Below are 27,256 nucleotides of genomic sequence, written 5' to 3' on the forward strand. Positions count from 1 at the left end.
TACTGCAAAAAAAAAAACAAAAAAACAAAACAACAACAACAAAAAAAACATTTTCTCTGTATTTCTCCATCTCCTTCCTTAAGGAAGAAGATTTATAGAACCTTTATAGAAGCTTATCTTTACCATTTGTGAAGATAACAGTTACTTTCTCAAAGTTACCAGGCCTTTTCTGGGTTTGTAGGTACATGGAATAATTTTAAAATAGAAATTGGGTGAGAAGTCACAAGCATCTACCATGATTGGTTATAAAAATCAAGTAGGACCTCGATGGGATGCCCATCTTGATGATATGTGCTCTACAGCCCCTATAATTACTTAAGTGCTGTCAATTACCTCTGCAAGCCTCAACATTTAGGTTCCCTTGGTGGTCTGCTGCCTCTCATGGCCCCCACACTCAACTTACCTCTGAAAGTCATGTTGGTCTTCGACCTCCTCAACTCTGGAATCTTTTTATTCCCATTATGTCAGGGAGACCATTTTGATGGCCCCATCACCTACCACCTACTAAAATAATTTTTAGAAACGTTTGTTCTTTTCCTACCAATGCATTTTAAAAGGCTTTGGTGTAGAAGGTACATTCTGGGTTCTCACTAACCATAGTTAATGGTTGAATGACTGAGCAAGAAAATTTCACTCAGTTTTTATAATCTTTCTTGGCTTCTTGATTTCTTATTCTATGATCTACCAAATGGTATTTATCATCTCAGTGATGTAATGAGCTATGACGGAATCCAGATTGTAACTGCTAAAATCAACACGTGGAATCAAGTCTTTGTTAAGTGCACTCATGGTGATGAAGTCAACTTAACTCAACTTAACCAAAACATTATATTCTCCTATCCTTCATCAAATACTCTCAGGATCTATTTTGATATTTTCACCAGAATTTTGCAAATCAAATGAACAAACTCCACCAACATTTTATTTATTTATTTATTTATTTATTTATTTATTTATTTGAGATGAAGTTTCTCTCTTGTCACCCAGGCAGGAGTGCAATGGCACGATCTTGGCTCACTGCAACCTGCGCCACCCAGGTTCAAGTGATTCACCTGCCTCAGCCTCCCAAGTAGCTGGGATTACAGGCCCCTGCCACCACATCCAGCTAATTTTTATATTTTCAGTAGAGACAGGGTTTCACCACGTAGGCCAGGCTTGTCTCGAACTCCTGACCTTAGGTGATCCACACTCCTTGGCCTCCCAAAGTGCTGGGATTACAGGCGTGAGCCAGCGTGCTGGGCCTAACATTTTAAAAATGTAAACATTTGTTTCCAAAATAAACTGGGAGCTTATTCTAGCTATAGAAATGGAGACAAAAGGATTGGGAGACTGGCTGAGAGCTCATGAAGAAGATTTGGTTTTAGATTCAGGGTAATTCCTTCAAGTGAGGAAGTCATAAACATTTTCAAGCAAAGCAGAAGTTCTTTGGGTGACACAGGCGGTTTGGTGGAGACTGGGCATTGGAGCATCCCAAATGCACTACATCGTGCCTTGTAACTCTGTCTCAATATCAGGATCCCACCTCTTATCAATATCTGAAATTTTGCAGACGATATTAGGAAAGACTATGAATTTGACTCCTTTTGTAATTCAGCAACATGAAGCCTTGAACTTTGCATTTAGATTTTTATCACTTTTATTCTGTAGCTGCTAAGAATGAGAGATTCTTTATCATAGTCCTGGAAGATTCTTAGGGTTTAGTTATTTTACCAGGTAGTCAGAGGTTGTAGCATGGTGGGGTATTCAGCTGTTTAGACTTGTTCAAAGCAATGCTCCACAATCAGAGTTCTCAAAATTTCATGTTCTTTCTATAGCAACTATCATTTTGTTTTCTTAAGGCCAACCCTCAATAAGCACTTAATTTCCGTCTATAACCAGTGAGAACTTAGCTTTCTGTTTCATCTCCTATCTTTTCTCTAAATAGTAATTATATTTTCACTTGGCAGGTAACCAATACCAGATTACCTGTTTTCCCTGAGGGTTTCTTGCCTGCAACCCACTTTCTGTACCCAATTTCTATACCAGTGACGGTTTTTTAATGCAGACATCAACAAGAGATGCTGCTAATTTTAACAAGAAAGGACTTCTTAAGGAAGTAACATAGATAGGTCACAGAATCCATTGGGAGGCTGAAGAATCAACTTCAGATAATGAGAAAGAAACTTGAGGAGCTGGATGCAAGGTAATGACTCATCCTGGTTTTCCCAGGGATCTCCCTATTTTAGCACTGAAAGTTGATACCTTGAAAAATCCCTCAGTCCTTTGCAAACTAGAACTACTGGTTACCCTCACTGGGTGGCTACAAAAGTAGCTAAGGACACAGCACAGGAACAGTCTGGCTAAATTGCCACTGTCACTACCACAGATGTCAGAAACTGTCTCTGATTCCACTGTGACCACTGATTCTAGAAATAATGTACCATTACCCACTTCCAAATTCTAAATGGTCACACAGAGTCTATATTGGGCACTAGCTGCAGAGTCAAAATTTATATCCAGATCATCTCTTTTAACCTCTGGCCTCTTCCTACTAAATGCCAAAGGTCAACTTTTTTGGGTTTCTTAGCTTCTTTTATCAGAGGCTTAGCTCTTGGCTTTCACTAGAACTCTCATGAGGATACGCAGACCCCAAAAAAGAAAAAAAAAGACATTCTATTATAGGGGTAAGTAAACAAGATGAGTGAAGAAAGGTAATATGGTTTGGCTGTGTCCCCACCCAAATCTCATCTTGAATTGCAGCTCCCATAATTCCCACATGTTCTTGGAGGGACCCGGTGGGAGGTAATTGAATCATGGTGAGTAAACAACAAGATGAGTGAAGGAAGGTGATATGGTTTGGGTGTGGTCCTCACCCAAATCTCATCTTGAATTGTAGCTCCCGTAATTCCCACATGTGGGAGGGACCTGGTGGGAGGTAATTGAATCATGGGGGCGGTTACCCCCATGCTGTTCTCATGATAGTGAATAAGTCTCATGAGATCTGATGGCTTCATAAAGGGGAGTTCCCCTGCACAAGTTCTCTCTTGCCTGCTGCCATGTAACATATGACTTTGCTCCTCCTTTGCCTTCTGCCATGATTGTGAGGCCTCCCCAGCCATGTGGAACTGTGAATCCATTAAACCTTTTTTTCTTTATAAATTACCCAGTCTCAGGGATGTCTTTATTAGCAGTGTGAGAACTGACTAACACAGAATGAAACCAAAAGAACACTGGAGTTATCAAAAATCATATAAGATCATAGTACATGAAAACCATCAGAATATGAGAAAGCTTATTTAGCAGTTTGGTATAAAGCTATGGGGGTAGATAATACATAGATTATAGTATACTTGATGAGTGAGCATAAGGATAGACTAATTCAGCATTTACCACCTACGAATTTCCAAATGGGTCAGAGTGTGAGCTTCTCAACTGAAGTCATTGATGTGTTGGGTTCATTTCTTTTATTATTTGATCATGCTATTTTCAATGGATATTGTTTAATGTTTTAAGGAAATACAATACAAAATTAAAATTAAATTGAAAATAAAGTATCTGATGTAATTTCTCTGAAACATTGAATTTGAACTTCTAACTAGTAAGCCTTAGAGATAATTATATAAAACTGATGATCAGCTTGAAAACAGCTCATTCTCAGTTTCATGGAGAATAGTCTGCACCATCTAGTCTTGTGTACATATGTTTTCTCTACATTGACATTCACTTGTTACATCGTGGTAGAGGATGCGAATTAAAAGAAAAAATTTTAGCAATCAAAAACCTTTCTAGTTTCCCTTAACTTCTAATTAGCTTTTGTGGAGTTGTTAAGGTACTGGTCAGGCTGGATAAATGATGAGTTCTAAGAAATAACCTCCCTCGGCCGGGCGCGGTGGCTCACGCCTGTAATCCCAGCACGTTGGGAGGCCAAGGCGGGTGGATCATGAGGTCAGGAGATCGAGACCATCCTGGCTAACAAGGTGAAACCCCGTCTCTACTAAAAATACAAAAAATTAGCCGGGCGCGGTGGCAGGCGCCTGTAGTCCCAGCTACTCGGGAGGCTGAGGCAGGAGAATGGCGTGAACCCGGGAAGCGGAGCTTGCAGTGAGCCGAGATTGCGCCACTGCAGTCCGCAGTCTGGCCTGGGCGACGGAGCGAGACTCCGTCTCAAAAAAAAAAAAAAAAAAAAAAAAAAAAAGAAATAACCTCCCTCATTGTTTATCTTTTACCTGATAAACTGAAAATTAATAGTGACTTTGAAATCATCTTCAAAAACTCAGACAACAACCTTTATGGTTTAATCTCCACATACTGCATTTCTAAGACTTTTAAAATGCCATCAACTTCAAGAGAAATTATTGTGAATATAACTTAGCAAAAAAGTGGCATGCATAGTTGTAATAAAAATGTATATATCTATGTGTCAGTCTTTAGAATACAAAATTGAGCATTTTGTAAAAATTACATTGAGGCACAGTGCAACATTTGTTCAATTTTAACAAAATAAGCTTCAAGCATGAAATCAGAAGCAATATTATTAGAACAAAGATGACCTGATGACTTTTAATCTTAGGCTTTTTTACTTGGTGAGTTTTGTAATGAGAGACTGATAACCCCAGCTCAACATTTTCAACCATAGAGTCCAGATGAGTAAAAGATAGGTCTACAATCTTTTCAAACATGTATGTAGATGTTTAATAGATCTTTTAGTTGCCGCAGTCACTGTGTTCTCTGTTGCTGACCTCCAGCTTGCATCTGAGAGATGTAGGTGAGATTTTGTTATAAACTGGCTCCAACCTTTGCCTGGGAGGAACAAAGGTGTTTAAAAATAGCTGTTCTTTTGATGCCTCCTGCACTGAGCTCCAGAAGGATGTGCATTTATTATGACACTCATTTTGTGCATTATTAAATGAAATAGTAGAGAGAAGTGTATGACATCACTTACATGGCAAAGCCATTAATAGGCCAATGGCAGAGGCCACATTTCCTCTTCATCAAATTCTGACAGCTTTAGTGTCTATAATGTCACTGTCTATTTTGAAAGAGTTGCACCTATTCAGGCTGAATTAAAAGTCACCAATAGCAAAGTGTAGCCTATCAACAGGTAAATATTCATCATTAATCAACCAATTAATGTGTCGTACTTCTGTGGACACGTCAGCTCTCACTTGAATATTTTTCTTTGTTTTAACCAAGAACTCAACACAGCTCCTTGATGTGGTAAAACTACTAAAGAAGAAGGCAACACAATTGTATGCTGAATGGATTTTTCTTTCTTAATCCTAAGAGCAGTTATTGAATTAGTTTTAAACATTTGATATGAGATTGACTGAATGTTTACTAGACTTGACCTTTTAGGCCAATCTTGCTGGCTTATCTGGTTTTCTGGGAGAATACAAATCCATTGTATTTTACAAAAATGTGAAAAATCTGTTTTACAGCTATTACATTGTCAAGAGTTACCAAAAATGTAAAATACAGGCATGAAGGATAATAATGTTTATGGTCCATTTTATTTTAGCAGGCTTAGCCCAAGAATCAAGTAAAGTATACAGAAGATGAGAATTTGATCATGAGGAGAGTTTATTTCTCGAAATCAGAGTGAAGTACACAGATTAATTTTCTTTCCATGAATTTATATTTTGATGTTTTACTTTCAATGACATTTTCTTCTTGGGACATCTTGGAGATACTTCTATCAAAATATTAAAATTACTCTTCCTCAAACATTAAAATTGTTATCAACATTCTTTTTCTTTTCTTTTTTTTTTTTTTTTTGAGATGGAGTCTCACTCTGTTGCCCAGGCTGGACTGCAGTGACGTGATCTTGGTTCACTGCAACCTCTTTCTCCTGGGTTCAAACAATTCCCCTGCCTCAGACTCCTGAGTAGTTGGGACCACAGGCGTCCGCCACCATGCCTGACTAATTTTGTATTTTTAGCAGAGATGGGGTTTACCGTCTTGGTCAGGCTTATCTTGAACTCCTGACCTTGTAATCCACCCACCTCAGCCTCCCAAAGTGCTGGGATTACAGGCCACCATGCCCTGCCAACATTCTTATTTTACATAAAGGATCCAAGGAATTATGTGTTTCCTAAATACTAATGTAATATTTAGTCACTTATTTTATTTTATTTTATTTTTTATTTATTTATTTTTTATTATTATTATACTTTAAGTTTTAGGGTACATGTGCACAATGTGCAGGTTAGTTACATATGTATACATGTGCCATGCTGGTGCGCTGCACCCACTAACTCGTCATCTAGCATTAGGTATATCTCCCAGTGGTATCCCTCCCCCCTCCCCCCACCCCACAACAGTCCCCAGAGTGTGATGTTCCCCTTCCTGTGTCCATGTGTTCTCATTGTTCAATTCCCACCTATGAGTGAGAATATGCGGTGTTTGGTTTTTTGTTCTTGCGATAGTTATACTGAGAATGATGATTTCCAATTTCATCCATGTCCCTACAAAGGACATGAACTCATCATTTTTATGGCTGCATAGTATTCCATGGTGTATATGTGCCACATTTTCTTAATCCAGTCTATCATTGTTGGACATTTGGGTTGGTTCCAAATCTTTGCTATTGTGAATAATGCCACAATAAACATACGTGTGCATGTGTCTTTATAGCAGCATCATTTATAGTCCTTTGGGTATATACCCAGTAATGGGATGGCTGGGTCAAATGGTATTTCCAGTTCCAGATCCCTGAGGAATCCCCACACTGACTTCCACAATGGTTGAACTAGTTTACAGTCCCACCAACAGTGTAAAAGTGTTCCTATTTCTCCACATGCTCTCCAGCACCTGTTGTTTCCTGACTTTTTAATGACCGTCATTCTAACTGGCGTGATGTGAGATGGTATCTCATTGTGGTTTTGATTTGCATTTCCCTGATGGCCAGTGATGGTGAGCATATATTCATGTGTTTTTTGGCTGCATAAATGTCTTCTTTTGAGAAGTGTCTGTTCACGTCCTTCGCCCACTTTTTGATGGGGTTGTTTTTTTTTGTAAATTTGTTTGAGTTCATTGTAGATTCTGGATATTAGCCCTTTGTCAGATGAGTAGGTTGCGAAAATTTTCTCCCATTTTGTAGGTTGCCTGTTCACTCTGATGGTAGTTTCTTTTGCTGTGCAGAAGCTCTTTAGTTTAATGAGATCCCATTTGTCAATTTTGGCTTTTGTTGCCATTGCTTTTGGTGTTTTAGACATGAAGTCCTTGCCCATGCCTATGTCCTGAATGGTAATACCTAGGTTTTCTTCTAGGGTTTTTATGGTTTTAGGTCTAACGTTTCAGTCTTTAATCCATCTTGAATTGATTTTTGTATAAGGTGTAAGGAAGGGATCCAGTTTCAGCTTTCTACATATGGCTAGCCAGTTTTCCCAGCACCATTTATTAAATAGGGAATCCTTTCCCCATTGCTTGTTTTTCTCAGGTTTGTCAAAAATCAGATAGTTGTAGATATGCGGCATTATTTCTGAGGGCTCTGTTCTGTTCCTTTGATCTATATCTCTGTTTTGGTACCAGTACCATGCTGTTTTGGTTACTGTAGCCTTGTAGTATAGTTTGAAGTCAGGTATTGTGATGCCTCCAGCTTTGTTCTTTTGGCTTAGGATTGACTTGGCGATGCGGGCTCTTTTTTGGTTCCATATGAATTTTAAAGTACTATTTTCCAATTCTGTGAAGAAAGTGATTGGTAGCTTGATGGGGATGGCACTGAATCTGTAAATTACCTTGGGCAGTATGGTCATTTTCACGATATTGATTCTTCCTACCCATGAGCATGGAATGTTCTTCCATTTGTTTGTATCCTCTTTTATTTCCTTGAGCAGTGGTTTGTAGTTCTCCTTGAAGAGGTCCTTCACATCCCTTGTAAGTTGTATTCCTAGGTATTTTATTCTCTTTGAAGCAATTGTGAATGGGAGTTCACTCATGATTTGGCTCTCTGTTTGTCTATTGTTGGTGTATAAGAATGCTTGTGATTTTTGTACATTGATTTTGTATCCTGAGACTTTGCTGAAGTTGCTTATCAGCTTAAGGAGATTTTGGGCTGAGACAATGGGGTTTTCTAGATATACAATCATGTCGTCTGCAAACAGGGACAATTTGACTTCCTCTTTTCCTAATTGAATATCCTTTATTTCTTTCTCCTGCCTGATAGCCCTGGCCAGAACTTCCAACACTATGTTGAATAGGAGTGGTGAGAGAGGGCATCCCTGTCTTGTGCCAGTTTTCAAAGGGAATGCTTCCAGTTTTTGCCCATTCAGTATGATATTGGCTGTGGGTTTGTCATAGATAGCTCTTATTATTTTGAAATACGTCCCATCAATACCTAATTTATTGAGAGTTTTTAGCATGAAGGTTTGTTGAATTTTGTCAAAGGCTTTTTCTGCATCTATTGAGATAATCATGTGGTTTTTGTCTTTGGCTCTGTTTATATGCTGGATTACATGTATTGATTTGCGTATATTGAACCAGCCTTGCATCCCAGGGATGAAGCCCACTTGATCATGGTGGATAAGCTTTTTGATGTGCTGCTGGATTTGGTTTGCCAGTATTTTACTGAGGATTTTTGCATCAATGTTCATCAAGGATATTGGTCTAAAATTCTCTTTTTTTTGTTGTGTCTCTGCCTGGCTTTGGTATCAGAATGATGCTGGCTTCATAAAATGAGTTAGGGAGGATTCCCTCTTTTTCTATTGATTGGAATAGTTTCAGAAGGAATGGTACCAGTTCCTCCTTGTACCTCTGGTAGAATTCGGCTGTGAATCCATCTGGTCCTGGACTCTTTTTGGTTGGCAAGCCATTGATTATTGCCACAATTTCAGCTCCTGTTATTGGTCTATTCAGAGATTCAACTTCTTCCTGGTTTAGTCTTGGGAGGGTGTATGTGTGGAGGAATTTATCCATTTCTTCTAGATTTTCTAGTTTATTTGTGTAGAGGTGTTTGTAGTATTCTCTGATGGTAGTTTGTATTTCTGTGGGATCGGTGGTGATATCCCCTTTGTCATTTTTTATTGCATCTATTTGATTGTTCTCTCTTTTTTTCTTTATTAGTCTTGCTAACAGTCTATCAATTTTGTTGATCCTTTCAAAAAACCAGCTCCTGGATTCATTAATTTTTTGAAGGGTTTTTTTGTGTCTCTATTTCCTTCAGTTCTGCTCTGATTTTAGTTATTTCTTGCCTTCTGCTAGCTTTTGAATGTGTTTGCTCTTGCTTTTCTAGTTCTTTTAATTGTGATGTTAGGGTGTCAATTTTGGATCTTTCCTGCTTTCTCTTGTGGGCATTTAGTGCTGTAAATTTCCCTCTACACACTGCTTTGAATGCCTCCCAGAGATTCTGGTATGTTGTGTCTTTGTTCTCGCTGGTTTCAAAGAACATCTTTATTTCTGCCTTCATTTCGTTATGTACCCAGTAGTCATTCAGGAGCAGGTTGTTCAGTTTCCATGTAGTTGAGCGGTTTTGAGTGAGATTCTTAATCCTGAGTTCTAGTTTGATTGCGCTGTGGTCTGAGAGATAGTTTGTTATAATTTCTGTTCTTTTACATTTGCTGAGGAGAGCTTTACTTCCAAGTATGTGGTCAATTTTGGAATAGGTGTGATGTGGTGCTGAAAAAAATGTATCTTCTGTTTATTTTGGGTGGAGAGTTCTGTAGATGTCTATTAGGTCCACTTGGTGCAGAGCTGAGTTCAATTCCTGGGTATGCTCGTTGACTTTCTGTCTCATTTATCTGTCTAATGTTGACAGTGGCATGTTAAGGTCTCCCATTATTAATGTGTGGGAGTCTAAGTCTCTTTGTAGGTCACTCAGGACTTGTTTTATGAATCTGGGTGCTCCTGTATTGGGTGCATTTATATTTAGGATAGTTAGCTCTTCTTGTTGAATTGATCCCTTTACCATTATGTAATGGCCTTCTTTGTCTCTTTTGATCTTTGTTGGTTTAAAGTCTGTTTTATCAGAGACTAGGATTGCAACCCCTGCCTTTTTTTGTTTTCCATTTGCTTGGTAGATCTTCCTCCATCCTTTTATTTTGAGCCTATGTGTCTCTGCACGTGAGATGGGTTTCCTGAATACAGCACACTGGTGGGTCTTGACTCTTTATCCAATTTGCCAGTCTGTGTCTTTTAATTGGAGCATTTAGTCCATTTACATTTAAAGTTAATATTGTTATGTGTGAATCTGATCCTGTCATGATGATGTTAGCTGGTTATTTTGCTCATTAGTTGATGCAGTTTCTTCCTAGTCTCGATGGTCTTTACATTTTGGCATGATTTTGCAGCGGCTGGTACCGGTTTTTCCTTTCCATATTTAGTACTTCATTCAGGAGCTCTTTTAGGGCAGGCCTGGTGGTGACAAAATCTCTCAGCATTTGCTTGTCTGTAAAGTATTTTATTTCTCCTTCACTTATGAAGCTTAGTTTGGCTGGATATGAAATTCTGGGTTGAAAATTGTTTTCTGTAAGAATGTTGAATATTGGCCCCCACTCTCTTCTGGCTTGTAGGGTTTCTGCTGAGAGATCCACTGTTAGTCTGATGGGCTTCCCTTTGAGGGTAACACGACCTTTCTCTTTGGCTTGTAGGGTTTCGACTGCAAGATCCGCTGTTAGTCTGATGGGCTTCCCTTTGAGGGTAACCCGACCTTTCTCTCTGGCTGCCCTTAACATTTTTTCCTTCATTTCAACTTTGGTGAATCTGACAATTATGTGTCTTGGAGTTGCTCTTCTCGAGGAGTATCTTTGTGGCATTCTCTGTATTTCCTGAATCTGAATGTTGGCCTGCCTTGGTAGATTGGGGAAGTTCTCCTGGATAATATGCTGCAGCGTGTTTTCCAACTTGGTTCCATTCTCCTCGTTACTTTCAGGTACACCAATCAGACGTAGATTTGGTCTTTTCACATAGTCCCATATTTCTTGGAGGCTTTGCTCGTTTCTTTTTATTCTTTTTTCTCTAAACTTCCCTTCTCGCTTCATTTCATTCATTTCATCTTCCATCACTGATACCCTTTCTTCCAGTTGATCGCGTCGGCTCCTGAGGCTTCTGCATTCTTTACGTAGTTCTCGAGCCTTGGTTTTCAGCTTCATCAGCTCCTTTAAGCACTTCTCTGTATTGGTTATTCTAGTTATACATTCTTCTAAATTTTGTTTAAAGTTTTCAACTTCTTTGCCTTTGGTTTGAATGTCCTCTTGTAGCTCGGAGTAATTTGATCATCTGAAGCCTTCTTCTCTCAGCTCGTCAAAGTCATTCTCTGTCCAGCTTTGTTCTGTTGCTGGTTAGGAACTGCGTTCCTTTGGAGGAGGAGAGGCACTCTGCTTTTTAGAGTTTCCAGTTTTTCTGTTCTGTTTTTTCCCCATCTTTGTGGTTTTATCTACTTTTGGTCTTTCTTTGATGATGGTGATATACAGATGGTTTTTTGGTGTGGGTGTCCTTTCTGTTTGTTAGATTTCCTTCTAACAGACAGGACCCTCAGCTGCAGGTCTGTTGTAGTACCCTGCCATGTGAGGTGTCAGTGTGCCCCTGCTGGGGGGTGCCTGCCAGTTAGGCTGCTCGGGGGTCAGGGGTCAGGGACCCACTTGAGGAGGCAGTCTGCCCGTTCTCAGATCTCCAGCTGTGTGCTGGGAGAACCCCTGCTCTCTTCAATGCTGTCAGACAGGGACATTTAAGTCTGCAGAGGTTACTGCTGTCTTTTTGTTTGTCTGTGCCCTGCCCCCAAGAGGTGGAGCCTACAGAGGCAGGCAGGCCTCCTTGAGCTGTGGTGGGCTCCACCCAGTTGGAGCTTCCTGGCTGCTTTGTTTACCTAAGCAAGCCTGGGCAATGGCGGATGCCTCTCCCCCAGCCTCGCTGCAGCCTTCAGTTTGATCTCAGACTGTTGTGCCAGCAATCAGCGAGACTCCGTGGGCATAGGACTCTCCAAGCCAGGTGCGGGATATAGTCTCCTGGTGCGCCGTTTTTTAAGCCCTTTGGAAAAGCGCAGTATTCGGGTGGGAGTGACCTGATTTTCCATGTGCCGTCTGTCACCCCTTTCTTTGACTAGGAAAGGGAACTCCCTGACCCCTTGCGCTTCCCAAGTGAGGCAATGCCTCGCCCTGCTTTGGCTGGCACACGGTGCATGCACCCACTGGCCTGCGCCCACTGTCTGGCACTCCCTAGTGAGATGAACCCGGTACCTCAGATGGAAATGCAGAAATCACCCGTCGTCTGCGTCGCTCACGCTGGGAGCTGTAGATTGGAGCTGTTCCTATTCGGCCATCTTCCCTCAAATATCTAGTCACTTATTTTAAAGGAGTTTGCTGTATTCTAGTCTCCTGGTATATATATACATATATGTATGTATGTATATATATATATACCAGGGTGTAATGTTTAACATTGAAGTAAATGTCTAACATGTTTGGCAAACAAAGAACCAGCTCTTTCATTTTATTAAGATAGATATCTGTACATATCTTAAATGTGTGTTTTGAGGCATATGGAAGAAGAAAGGAGGTGACGAGTTGCAAATCAAGATAGTATTGAAGATGGTATGTCCACAGTGCTAGATGTCAAGCATCTATCTATCTGTCTATCTATCATCTATCTATAATTATATATATATCTATTTATATATGTATATATAAATTTGATGCAAAAATAATTGCGGTTTTTGCCATTGAAAGTAATCTTAATTTTTAAACTGTCACCTCTTTTATTCTTCCATATGCCCCAAAACACACATTTAAGATATGTACGGAAATCTATCTTAATAAAATGAAAGGGCTGGTTCTTTGTTTGCCAAACATGCTAATATACTTTGTATATGTGGATGGGAGTGCAGGCAGACTCTAGGAGCTGGAGAATGGTTTCAGATTGAGAGTCAACAAGAAAATGAGAACCCTAGTCTTACATCCACGAGGAAATGAATTCTGGCAATAATACTGAGATTGGAAGGGGACTCAGATAACATTGCAGTTTTGGCCAACAATTCAATTTCAACCTGGTAAGACTGCACAGAGGACCCAACTAACTAGTTTCTGGACTTTTGACCCCTAGAAAAAGTAACATCTGAAATTTGTGTTGTTTTATGCTGCTAAGTCTATGCTAATTTGCTATGTAGCAACAAAAAGCAAATACAAAATATATAATCCTTCCTATATCTTGTAAGCATTTTATTACTCATGAGAACACGGTTGGCCTATCCACTGAACAGCAAGACAAATGTAGTAATAATTAGTCATTGCTGATGTTTGACTGATTGTGTTATGTAAACACCATAGATGTACATGTATTTGCTATTATGTTGTTATGGATATACAGTGAAATCTATTTTATTTAACAGCTTGTTACTTTGACTTGTAAGCTTTAAATATTTTGACATATGGTATATATGCTTCCACTTGTACTCTAGCTCAGGGTATAGGAAATGTTGGTGATGGGCATGGTCAACTTCCTGTTCTAATATTCAAAGTATTTCCACTGTTTCCAGTATCGAGTTAGCATCTCCGTTCTCTGTGCTTCCTCCAAACACTATCTGCATAACCAGGAATCATATAAATCATGCCAAATTATCATTTATTTATTAGTGAGTTTCTCTTTCTACTAGATGAGCTTATCTCAGTATCTTTAGTCAATAGTGACAAGCACAGTGCTTGACATCTAGCACTGTGGACATACCATTTTCAATACTATCTTGATTTGCAACTCGTCACCTCTTTTCTTCTTCCATATGCCTCAAAACACACATTTAAGATATGTACAGATATCTATCTTAATAAAATGAAAGAGCTGGTTCTTTGTTTGCCAAACATTAAACATTTGCATCAACCAGTCCAAACCATAGGGTGTTGTTGCATTGAAATCTGATCCTTCGGGAAATATTAATGAAAGTGATTATTTCTATTCCTTGCAAGGCAATTGATTATTAAGTGTTTGGCAAGCTTAATCTAATTTCCATAAAACTAAAATTGAGGCCCTATAGTCCCAAGTAATGTAGACCGAGAATCAACATTTAAAAAGCAGAAAAAAATAAATATCATTTGGAAGAGTAATGGAAAATATTTTTTTTTGTCTCAGAGAAATCTGTATGTGACATTTGCACATGAAGAATCTCAAATGAACTTGACAAATGTTTTAATATTTTTAGTGTCCACATAAATGCTTCCAGTAATTATTTGTCTTGAGCTAAAAATTTTTCATAACTGTTACTTCACATTTTATTCTTGTTAATAATAATAGTCATTTATTATAGTAAAATGTTGACAATAAAACCAAAGGCATACTGAAGAAAATAAAGATCATTCATGCGAACAGGACTTCATAGTGGCTTTGAACAAGGGTAAAAGAGTTTGTCTGCCTGCGCCTAACACCATGACCTCAAATTATCAACTTAAACTCTCTCTTTGTTTCATCAACATTTGACAACAATATTCACATAATTGTATTATTCTAAAGATTTAAAAATTAATGAATTTAGAACGGAGCCTGGCATATAATAATTACTTAGTAGGTTTTAAATATGTTGGTGGTGGTGATGTTGATGACGATGATGTTGGCAATTGAAAGACAATTACTTTTCTTGAATTTAAATCAATAAATGCTTCTACTATTATTACTTGTATTGTTGTTATCAACAATTTCACTGGATTAATCCTAGAGCAATTAAAGATATAACTTCAATAAAAATTATATCATAAACTGTATAAACTATATGTTCTGATCTTTTTCTGTTATATTATGGAAATATTCTTTAAAATGCACATTATCTTATAAATAGAAAATATTTTAATTTTCTTTTAATCTAGTTTAATTTTTTGGATGTTTAGTCATTACTATCTAGGCATGAATAATATATAGGAATCAGTTTCTACATCAGAACTTTGAAAGTATCATCAAATAGTAATTATTTGATAACAATTCCATATTGAGAGTTGGTTCTGATTCAAAACTCAACCCTGTTGTTTATATCTTCCCTACCCCATCGTTTGCAGAATTTTTACTGAACACTACAATGACTGCATAAAAAGAAAAATTGATAGCAGAGTTGGAAACTAGCAAAAGATGACATCTCTAAGCCTGAAAGCCAGAAGGAATGTTGGGAATATATTGTTTAGAGGATAACTTTGCAGAAAGGTCAGCAAACATGCAAGCTACAACATGAGAAGAAATCTGTTCCAGAGCTCAGAGTGGGTGGGAAGGACAAAGTGGGAGCTGCCAGGGCAGAAGGGAAGGCTGGTGAATAGTCTATAATGGAGATTCTGGCTACAATTAAATCACTTGAAGACATTTTTATTAACATACTCATTTTGAGAGCTCACCCCAGAGGAATTAAATCAGAATCTTGGTCGGGAAGAGGGGTGAGGTTGGGAGTAGCCCACACATTGCCTTTTTGTAAAAACTTTCCAGATGATCGTATGTGTGTAAAAATGGTTGTGAATCATTGGTTTAGGAAGCAAATATAAAATATGCTTGTGTTTCCTGGAAAGCACAAGGTTGCCACAACAGAAGGAATGGCTCTTACCCTTGTTCTCAGTGTCTACACGTGTGGGTGGTAGGCTAAGTAAACTGAAGGTACTTCTACAACGAGATTGACAACTAGTATCAGCATGCCTGTGAGGGAAGACGAGGCAGGGTTGGGCAGTGACCCAGCAAGTATTTTTTATAACACATGAAGCTTTTATAGGAAATTCTTTTTTTTTTTTAATTTTTTTTTATTATACTTTAAGTTTTAGGGTACATGTGCACATTGTGCAGGTTAGTTACATATGTATACATGTGCCATGCTGGTGCGCTGCACCCACTATCTCGTCATCTAGCATTAGGCATATCTCCCAGTGCTATCCCTCCCCCCTCCCCCCACACCACAACAGTCCCCAGAGTGTGATATTCCCCTTCCTGTGTCCATGTGATCTCATTGTTCAGTTCCCACCTATGAGTGAGAATATGTGGTGTTTGGTTTTTTGTTCTTGCGATAGTTTACTGAGAATGATGATTTCCAATTTCATCCATGTCCCTACAAAGGACATGAACTCATCATTTTTTATGGCTGCATAGTATTCCATGGTGTATATGTGCCACATTTTCTTAATCCAGTCTATCATTGTTGGACATTTGGGTTGGTTCCAAGTCTTTGCTATCGTGAATAATGCCGCAAAAAACATACGTGTGCATGTGTCTTTATAGCAGCATGATTTATAGTCCTTTGGGTATATACCCAGTAATGGGATGGCTGGGTCAAATGGTATCTCCAGTTCTAGATCACTGAGGAATCACCACACTGACTTCCACAATGGTTGAACTAGTTTACAGTCCCACCAACAGTGTAAAAGTGTTCCTATTTCTCCACATCCTCTCCAGCACCTGTTGTTTCCTGACTTTTTAATGATTGCCATTCTAACTGGCGTGATGTGAGATGGTATCTCATTGTGGTTTTGATTTGCATTTCTCCGATGGCCAGTGATGGTGAGCATTTTTTCATGTGTTTTTTGGCTGCATAAATGTCTTCTTTTGAGAAGTGTCTGTTCATGTCCTTTGCCCACTTTTTGATGGGGTTGTTTGTTTTCTTCTTGTAAATTTGTTTGAGTTCATTGTAGATTCTGGATATTAGCCCTTTGTCAGATGAGTAGGTTGCGAAAATTTTCTCCCATTTTGTAGGTTGCCTGTTCACTCTGATGGTAGTTTCTTTTGCTGTGCAGAAGCTCTTTAGTTTAATGAGATCCCATTTGTCAATGTTGTCTTTTGTTGCCATTGCTTTTGGTGTTTTAGACATGAAGTCCTTGCCCATGCCTATGTCCTGAATGGTAATACCTAGGTTTTCTTCTAGGGTTTTTATGGTTTTAGGTCTAAGGTTTAAGTCTTTAATCCATCTTGAATTGATTTTTGTATAAGGTGTAAGGAAGGGATCCAGTTTCAGCTTTCTACATATGGCTAGCCAGTTTTCCCAGCACCATTTATTAAATAGGGAATCCTTTCCCCATTGCTTGTTTTTCTCAGGTTTGTCAAAGATCAGATAGCTGTAGATATGCGGCGTTATTTCTGAGGGCTCTGTTCTGTTCCATTGATCTATATCTCTGTTTTGGTACCAGTACCATGCTCTTTTGGTTACTGTAGCCTTGTAGTATAGTTTGAAGTCAGGTAGTGTGATGCCTCCAGCTTTGTTCTTTTGGCTTAGGATTGACTTGGCAATGTGGGCTCTTTTTTGGTTCCATATGAACTTTAAAGTAGTTTTTTCCAATTCTGTGAAGAAAGGCATTGGTAGCTTGATGGGGATGGCATTGAATCTGTAAATTACCTTGGGCAGTATGGCCATTTTCACGATATTGATTCTTCCTACCCATGAGCATGGAATGTTCTTCCATTTCTTTGTATCCTCTTTTATTTCCTTGAGCAGTGGTTTGTAGTTCTCCTTGAGGAGGTCCTTCACATCCCTTGTAAGTTGGATTCCTAGGTATTTTATTCTCTTTGAAGCAATTGTGAATGGGAGTTCACTCATGATTTGGCTCTCTGTTTGTCTGTTGTTGGTGTATAAGAATGCTTGTGATGTTTGTACATTGATTTTGTATCCTGAGACTTTGCTGAAGTTGCTTATCAGCTTAAGGAGATTTTGGGCTGAGACAATGGGGTTTTCTAGATATACAATCATGTCGTCTGCAAACAGGGACAATTTGACTTCCTCTTTTCCTAATTGAATACCCTTTATTTCCTTCTCCTGGCTGATTGCCCTGGCCAGAACTTCCAACACTATGTTGAATAGGAGTGGTGAGAGAGGGCATCCCTGTCTTGTGCCAGTTTTCAAAGGGAATGCTTCCAGTTTTTGCCCATTCAGTATGATATTGGCTGTGGGTTTGTCATAGATAGCTCTTATTATTTTGAAATACGTCCCATCAATACCTAATTTATTGAGAGTTTTTAGCATGAAGGTTTGTTGAATTTTGTCAAAGGCTTTTTCTGCATCTATTGAGATAATCATGTGGTTTTGTTGTCTTTGGCTCTGTTTATATGCTGGATTACATGTATTGATTTGCGTATATTGAACCAGCCTTGCATCCCAGGGATGAAGCCCACTTGATCATGGTGGATAAGCTTTTTGATGTGCTGCTGGATTTGGTTTGCCAGTATTTTACTGAGGATTTTTGCATCAATGTTCATCAAGGATATTGGTCTAAAATTCTCTTTTTTTTGTTGTGTCTCTGCCTGGCTTTGGTATCAGAATGATGCTGGCTTCATAAAATGAGTTAGGGAGGATTCCCTCTTTTTCTATTGATTGGAATAGTTTCAGAAGGAATGGTACCAGTTCCTCCTTGTACCTCTGATAGAATTCGGCTGTGAATCCATCTGGTCCTGGACTCTTTTTGGTTGGTAAGCCATTGATTATTGCCACAATTTCAGCTCCTGTTATTGGTCTATTCAGAGATTCAACTTCTTCCTGGTTTAGTCTTGGGAGGGTGTATGTGTGGAGGAATTTATCCATTTCTTCTAGATTTTCTAGTTTATTTGTGTAGAGGTGTTTGTAGTATTCTCTGATGGTAGTTTGTATTTCTGTGGGATCGGTGGTGATATCCCCTTTGTCATTTTTTATTGCATCTATTTGATTCTTCTCTCTTTTTTTCTTTAATAGTCTTGCTAGCGGTCTATCAATTTTGTTGATCCTTTCAAAAAACCAGCTCCTGGATTCATTAATTTTTTGAAGGGTTTTTTTGTGTCTCTATTTCCTTCAGTTCTGCTCTGATTTTAGTTATTTCTTGCCTTCTGCTAGCTTTTGAATGTGTTTGCTCTTGCTTTTCTAGTTCTTTTAATTGTGATGTTAGGGTGTCAATTTTGGATCTTTCCTGCTTTCTCTTGTCGGCATTTAGTGCTATAAATTTCCCTCTACAAACTGCTTTGAATGCATCCCAGAGATTCTGGTATGTTGTGTCTTTGTTCTCGTTGGTTTCAAAGAACATCTTTATTTCTGCCTTCATTTCGTTATGTACCCAGTAGTCATTCAGGAGCAGGTTGTTCAGTTTCCATGTAGTTGAGCGGTTTTGAGTGAGATTCTTAATCCTGAGTTCTAGTTTGATTGTGCTGTGGTCTGAGAGATAGTTTGTTATAATTTTTGTTCTTTTACATTTGCTGAGGAGAGCTTTACTTCCAAGTATGTGGTCAATTTTGGAATAGGTGTGGTGTGGTGCTGAAAAAAATGTATCTTCTGTTTATTTGGGGTGGAGAGTTCTGTGGATGTCTCTTAGGTCCGCTTGGTGCAGAGCTGAGTTCAATTCCTGGGTATCCTTGTTGACTTTCTGTCTTGTTGATCTGTCTAACGTTGACAGTGGGGTGTTAAAGTCTCCCATTATTAATGTGTGGGAGTCTAAGTCTCTTTGTAGGTCATTCAGGACTTGCTTTATGAATCTGGGTGCTCCTGTATTGGGTGCATATATATTTAGGATAGTTAGCTCTTCTTGTTGAATTGATCCCTTTACCATTATGTAATGGCCTTCTTTGTCTCTTTTGATCTTTGTTGGTTTAAAGTCTGTTTTATCAGAGACTAGGATTGCAACCCCTGCCTTTTTTTGTTTTCCATTTGCTTGGTAGATCTTCCTCCATCCTTTTATTTTGAGCCTATGTGTGTCTCTGCACGTGAGATGGGTTTCCTGAATACAGCACACTGGTGGGTCTTGACTCTTTATCCAATTTGCCAGTCTGTGTCTTTTAATTGGAGCATTTAGTCCATTTACATTTAAAGTTAATATTGTTATGTGTGAATTTGATCCTGTCATTATGATGTTAGCTGGTTGTTTTGCTGGTTAGTTGATGCAGTTTCTTCCTAGTCTTGATGGTCTTTACATTTTGGCATGATTTTGCAGCGGCTGGTACCGGTTTTTCCTTTCCATATTTAGTACTTCATTCAGGAGCTCTTTTAGGGCAGGCCTGGTGGTGACAAAATCTCTCAGCATTTGCTTGTCTGTAAAGTATTTTATTTCTCCTTCACTTATGAAGCTTAGTTTGGCTGGATATGAAATTCTGGGTTGAAAATTGTTTTCTTTAAGAATGTTGAATATTGGCCCCCACTCTCTTCTGGCTTGTAGGGTTTCTGCTGCGAGATCCGCTGTTAGTCTGATGGGCTTCCCTTTGAGGGTAACCCGACCTTTCTCTCTGGCTGCCCTTAACATTTTTTCCTTCATTTCCACTTTGGTGAATCTGACAATTATGTGTCTTGGAGTTGCTCTTCTCGAGGAGTATCTTTGTTGCGTTCTCTGTATTTCCTGAATCTGAATGTTGGCCTGCCTTGCTAGATTGGGGAAGTTCTCCTGGATAATATCCTGCAGCGTGTTTTCCAATTTGGTTCCATTCTCCACATCACTTTCAGGTACACCAATCAGACGTAGATTTGGTCTTTTCACATAGTCTCATATTTCTTGGAGGCTTTGCTCATTTCTTTTTATTCTTTTTTTCTCTAAACTTCCCTTCTCGCTTCATTTCATTCATTTCATCTTCCATCGCTGATACGCTTTCTTTCAGTTGATCGCGTCAGCTCCTGAGGCTTCTGCATTCTTCACGTAGTTCTCGAGCCTTGGTTTTCAGCTCCATCAGCTCCTTTAAGCATTTCTCTGTATTGGTTATTCTAGTTATACATTCTTCTAAATTTTTTTCAAAGTTTTCAACTTCTTTGCCTTTGGTTTGAATGTCCTCCCGTAGCTCGGAGTAATTTGATCATCTGAAGCCTTCTTCTCTCAGCTCGTCAAAGTCATTCTCTGTCCAGCTTTGTTCTGTTGCTGTTGAGGAACTGCGTTCCTTTGGAGAAGGAGAGGCGCTCTGCTTTTTAGAGTTTCCAGTTTTTCTGTTCTGTTTTTTCCCCATCTTTGTGGTTTTATCTACTTTTGTTCTTTGATGATGGTGATGTACAGATGGGTTTTTGGTGTGGGTGTCCTTTCTGTTTGTTAGTTTTCCTTCTAACAGACAGGACCCTCAGCTGCAGGTCTGTTGGAATACCCTGCCGTGTGAGGTGTAAGTGTGCCCCTGCTGGGGGTTGCCTGCCAGTTAGGCTGCTCGGGGGTCAGGGGTCAGGGACCCACTTGAGGAGGCAGTCTGCCCGTTCTCAGATCTCCAGCTGCATGCTAGGAGAACCACTGCTCTCTTCAAAGCTGTCAGACAGGGACATTTATGTCTGCAGAAGTTACTGCTGTCTTTTTGTTTGTCTGTGCCCTACCCCCAGAGGTGGATCCTACAGAGGCAGGCAGGCCTCCTTGAGCTGTGGTGGGCTCCACTCTGTTCGAGCTTCCTGGCTGCTTTGTTTACCTAAGCAAGCCTGGGCAATGGCGGGCGCCAATCCCCCAGCCTGGCTGCCGCCTTGCAGTTTGATCTCAGACTGCTGTGCTAGCAATCAGTGAGACTCCCGTGGTCATAGGACCCTCCGAGCCAGGTGCGGGTTATAATCTCGTGGTGCACTGTTTTTTAAGCCCGTCGGAAAAGCGCAGTATTTGGGTGGGAGTGACCCAATTTTCCAGGTGCTGTCGGTCACCCCTTTCTTTGAGTCGGAAAGGGAACTCCCTGACCCCTTGCGCTTCCCAAGTGAGGCAATGCCTCGCCCTGCTTCGGCTGGCACAGGGTGCGCGCACCCACTTACCTGCGCCCACTGTCTGGCATTCCCTAGTGAGTTGAACCTGGTACTTCAGATGGAAATGCAGAAATAACCCGTCTTCTGCGTCACTCACGCTGGGAGCTGTAGACTGGAGCTGTTCCTATTTGGCCATCTTGGCTCCTTGATTTAGGAAATTCTTGAGGAGAAAAAAAATAAGATGCCAAATAGTCAAATATACCAGGCAGAATAATAAATATAATGGATTTAAAGTTTTAATAGTACCATTCATATAAGGACACATAAAAACAGTTATGCTGTTTGTAGAAGTAAAACAAAATCATAGACAAAAAATGTTAAAGGTGAAAAAATATATATTCAGGAAATGCAAATATAGTAGTGTTTGCCATACAATATCAACATCATATAAAATTAAATTCAAAGAAATACCACTCAAAGGGACAATGATGAGTCATTTTATATTGATAAAGGGTGCAACCTACAGACATTTTCAAAATATTTTAATGTGCTGAATAAAGTTGCTTCAAAATATTTCAGAAATGTTATTTAACACCTATGAAACTTTTTATAGAATATTTTGTCGAATATCAATATTTCAATATCATGGAAATATAATAATGCAGAAAATCCATAAGAAAAACAAAGTAAACTTCAAATTTGAATGGAATATGAAATACTGAAGACAAATATTTCTATCATTCTTTATATTATTAACATATTTTTTAAAGGAAAGGCAAGTTTCATATATCTGCAATTAATTTACTGTTGTATTTGTCAATCTACCAGGACAGAGTTATGAGATTACAAAGAACACAACATTCATCAGAATAAAAATATACCCTTGGTTGTTAAAATGTATGTTTCATGTGTAATAATTCATTGAGTTTTATATTCCTAGGACACTAAAGGTAAATATATTTCCAGTAAAAACAAATAAAATTTGCTCTCCTAAACTGGTGTCTTTCAGATAACCAATTATCTTATAAGTTACATTTTAAACACAAAGAAAGCAAAATTTTAAATCAAATACACTGATTAATTAACTACTTGTAAAATTGTAAGAAGTCCATCCACTGTGAAACGAGGAACTATAGGCTGCCTATGTAGTGCAATGACGGGAATGGTAAAATATGTTACCAATGGAAAAACGTAAAAGTATTTGGAAGTATTTCAAAACTCTGGTTTTAACCTTTACAACCACCATCCATGATAGAGGAATCATAGTTGCAGGTGGATAGGCACCTACGAAAGGGGCTAGCTAGCCAGCCCCCTTCCAAGGAAAAGATGGGGTGAGGATTGTTAATGTTTTCCATCTGTGGTATTAAGACTGCAGACTTAGTGGAAATCTTGATATTCACCAAGATCCCAGAGCAACATGGTATCTTGGTGATAAAATTCACATCTAGTGTGTCTAAGTGAATAGTCTCAAAGAATGTATACATACTCTAACTTTGTACAGGCAAATGTAGCCAATAATTTCTAAGCTCCTGAAAAAATGGGACAGTAGGAAGAATTGGGAGGGAGTGTATCTCAGAAGAGGGTGGGACTAAGAGGACACGGAAGACATGGAGCTCACAGTCACTACTGAGGGCCACAACAGGGACCATTGACACCAGTAACTGACACCAGTGCAGAATGCTCAAACACTATCAAAACACTATCACTTCAACTGATGCCGGCACAGGATACTCCAATGAAATAAAATATAAGACAGTAGATGTCAGGAAGAACATAGGATGGCATGAAAACTGATTTCAGAACAGTATCAATTTCCTGCTCTCTCCCTTCTCTCTTCTGATAGCCTCTCCCACCAATTTCAGTAAAATTGATCACCTTTGGGGGACAGGTAAAGAAAAGGGGCAAGAAATATGTTAAATTTGATTAATACTTTTACAAAAAAGCGACTGTATATTGAATTTGGAATTATTGAATTCCCTTGAAATGCCATTAATCTGAGTCATTAGTAAAATACAGAATTACTTGTAGTTACTTACCAGAAAATTAGGAAAAATATATTTCTGGACATCTGAGTAGTAACTGAAAATTTGAAAGCTACCAGGCATTTATCCCTCTTGATTATCTGACCAATAATTGTTAATATAGCTCTCACTGGTGATGCTTCACGGATGTTGTAAAAAATCTGCCAATGCATTGCAAACATAGTATAAGTGAGTTGAGAAAATGTGATATTATAAATGTTGTAAAATACACAAAATTTTAAGAAATTAATAAAATTTATGTTGGAGGATATGTAAGAGCACAGACACAAGTAACTGAAATACATATATTTTTGATATTGTAACTTTCCAGCATCAGATTTATTGAGGCATAATTGAAGTACAGTAAGAGTCACCTTTTAAGGCATACAGTTCAATGCATTTTCACAGATGTTCACAGCACATCACCAGTACCACAAGCAAGTTATAAAATATTTTCCTCCCCAACAAAGTTCCCTTGTGCCTCCTTACAGTGTTTACCTATAGTCTTAATTAACAGAACTAGAACTAGACAACTTAAAAATTGAAGAATAAAAGGAACACACAAAATTGATGAAAATAGAAAACATTAGAAATCAGTGAATGAATTCAGTGCTAGTGGATGAAGATCAACCTGCTGATATTAATACAATTTTTTAAAATTTTATTTCACGAATATGATTCACATTTTTATTATGTTTCGAAGTTGAATTCCTTGACGAAGTTTTTTGTGCCAAAATGCTGAAGTGCTGTGGTCCTTAATAAGGGGACAGAAGTTCTTGTGTTACATCCATGTCTTATATATTACCTCAAAATATCAACATCCTCCTCCTCCTCCTCACCATCATCAGTCGCTGAATCCCACTGTACTCCTAGAGTGGCATGGTGAAAACTGAAGATCTGAGGTTAACAATTGATTCCAAAACAGTTCCCACTATAGTGGCACTGTCATCATGCCAAGCTGCTTCCTTAACCCCTAAGTGTCCTTAAGGAGCTGATTCAAACTTACAAGGTGATTGCCTCATATCTGAGGTATGAGACCTTCAAACCCTGAGATGATTTGTTTTATTCAGTGTCAAGATAAGCAAAAATTTAGGTGACTCGAAGTCGCAAAAATATTATACTTCTAGAAGTGAGAATGGTTGATGCATTAACCTTATTTTTAACTTTTATTTTGGGTTCAGGAGTACACATGCAGATTTGTTATACAAATAAATTGCATGTCATGGGGGTTTGGTGTACAGATTATTTTGTCACCCAGGTAACAAGCATAGTATCAAATAGGTAGTTTTATGATCCTCAACTTCCTCCACCCTTAACATTCAAGTAGGCTTCAGTGTCTGTTCCCTTCTTTGTGTCCATGTGGACTCAATGGTTAACTCTCACCTATAAGTCAGAACACGCAGTATTTGTTTTTCTGTTCCTGTCTTAGTTTGCTTAAGATTACATCCTCCAGCTCCATCCATGTTGCTACAAAAGACATAGTTTTATTCTTTTTATGGCTGCCTACTATTCCATGGTGTATATGTACTATTTTTTTTTAATCCAGATTACAGTTGATGGACATTTGGGTTGATTCTATGTCTTTGCTATTGGGAATAGTGGGGTGATGAACATATGCGTGTATGCATCTTTATGGTAGAACAATTTATATTCCATTGGGTGTGTGTATATATATATATATGTATACATGTGTATATACATATATATACACATGTATACATATATATACACATGTATACATATATATACATATATATACATGTATACATATATATACATATATATATATATACACACCCAATGGAATATAAATTGTTCTACCATAAAGATATATATATATATGGTGTGTATGTGTATCATCTATATATATATATATCATATATATATATGGTGTGTGTGTGTATCTATCAATCTATATATCTACTGATATCTATCTACTTATAGATGATAGAGAGATAGATCAGTAGATAGATAAATATAGATATATAGATATAGACATAGATATAGATATAGATACAGGATTGCTGGGTTGAACGGTAATTCTGTTTTAAGTTCTTTGAGAAATCACCTGATTTGGTTTGGCTCTGTGTCCTCAACCAAACCTCATGTTAAATTGTAATCCCCATGTGTCAGGAGAGGGGTCTGGTGGAAGGTAATTGTATTGTGGGGGCAGATTTCTCCATGCTGTTATTGTGAAAGTAAGTTTTCACGAGATCTGGTGGTTTAAAAGTGTTTGGCACTTCTCATGTCACTCTCAGTCTCTCCTGCCACCATGTGAAGAAGGTGCTTGCTTCCTCTTTGCCTTCTGCCATTATTGTAAGTGTCCTGAGGCCCTCCAGTGATACTTCCTGTTAAGCCTATGATGCTGTGACTCAGTTGAACCTCTTTTTTTTCATAAATTGCCCATTCTCAGGTAGCTCTTTATATCAGTGTGAAAACAGACTAACACAGAAAATTGGTACCAGAAGAGTGGGGCATTCCTATAAAGATACCTGAAAATGTGGAAGCAACTTTGAAACTGGGTAATTGGCAGAGGTTGGAAAAGTTTGTAGGGCTCAGAAGAAGACAAAAAGATGTGGGAAAGTTTGGAACTTTTAGAGATTTGTTTAATGGTTTTGACCAAAATACTGATAGTAATATAGACAAAAAAGTCAAGGCTGAGGTGGTCTCAGATGGAGATGAGGAACTTGTTGGGAACTGGAATAAAGGTGACTCTTGCTATACTTTAGCAAAGAGACTGGTGGCATTTTGCCCCTGCTCTAGAAGGGAGAAATGGTTTTGTGGGCCAGGCCTGTGCAGCCTCAGGACATGGTGCCCTGAGTCCCAGCTGCTCCAAATCCAGCTGTGGCTAATAGAGGCCAAGGTACAGGTTGAACCGTGGCTTTACAGGGTGAAGCCACAAGCCTTTGTGGCTTCCACATGGTGTTGGGCCTCTGGGTGTGCAGAAGGAAAGAGTTTGACAACCTCCACCTAGATTTCAGAGGGTGTATGAAAACACCTGGATGTTCAGGCAGAAATATGCTGTAGAGGCAGAGCCTTCATGGAGAACCTATACTAGGGCAGTGTGGAGGGGAAATGTGGGGTTGGAGCCCCCACACGAAGTTCCCACTGGGGCACTTCCTAGCAGAGTTGTGAGGAAAGGGCCACCGTACTCCAAACTCCAGGATGGTAGATCCACTAATACCCTGACCCCAGAATGGTAGATCCACCAACAGCTTGCAGTGTGTGCCTGGAAATGCTGCAGGAACTAACCCCAGCATGTGAAAGCAGCTGCAGGGGCTGTACCCTGCAGAAGCATGGCATCAGAGCTGCCCAAGGCCTTGGGAGCCCAGCTATTGCATCAGCATTTTCTGGATGTGAGGCATGGAGTTAAAGGAGATTATTTTAGAGCTTTAAGATGTAATAACTGCCCTGCTGGGTTTCGGACTTGCATGGGGCTTGTGGTTCCTTTGTTTTGGCCAATTTCTCCCATTTCGAATGGGAGCATTTACCCAATGCCTGTACTCACATTGTATCTTGGAAGTAATTAACTTGCTTTTGCTTTTACAGACTCATAGGTTGAAGGGACTTACTTTATCTCAGATGAGACTTTGGACTGTAGACTTTTTATTTATGCTGACATGAGTTAAGGCTGGGGGACTGTTGAGAATGAATAAATGTATTTAAAAATGTGAGAAGGACATGAAATTTGCAAGGGGCCAAAGGTGGAATGATATGGTTTAGATTTTTGTCCCTGCCCAAAGCTCAAGTC

The 27,256-nt window shown here is 38.9% G+C and overlaps 1 long non-coding RNA gene across 1 annotated transcript in view, besides 2 other annotated features; it reads left to right on the forward strand.

The window, feature by feature from the left end:
- Positions 1–27,256, forward strand: part of LINC02328 (long intergenic non-protein coding RNA 2328) — a 195,101-nt gene that overhangs the window by 155,127 nt on the left and 12,718 nt on the right. The window lies entirely within an intron of this gene.
- Positions 11,359–11,860: an enhancer, noted in NCBI's record as "H3K4me1 hESC enhancer chr14:86567507-86568008 (GRCh37/hg19 assembly coordinates)". NCBI's record gives its function as "activates a minimal SCP1, AML or CMV promoter by ChIP-STARR-seq in naive H9 embryonic stem cells {active_cell/tissue: H9 hESC(naive)}" and the evidence as "EXISTENCE:reporter gene assay evidence [ECO:0000049][PMID:30033119]".
- Positions 26,027–26,528: an enhancer, noted in NCBI's record as "H3K27ac hESC enhancer chr14:86582175-86582676 (GRCh37/hg19 assembly coordinates)". NCBI's record gives its function as "activates a minimal SCP1, AML or CMV promoter by ChIP-STARR-seq in primed H9 embryonic stem cells {active_cell/tissue: H9 hESC(primed)}" and the evidence as "EXISTENCE:reporter gene assay evidence [ECO:0000049][PMID:30033119]".

This window comes from Homo sapiens, chromosome 14 (genome assembly GCF_000001405.40).
Source record: "Homo sapiens chromosome 14, GRCh38.p14 Primary Assembly".
NCBI lineage: Eukaryota > Metazoa > Chordata > Mammalia > Primates > Hominidae > Homo > Homo sapiens.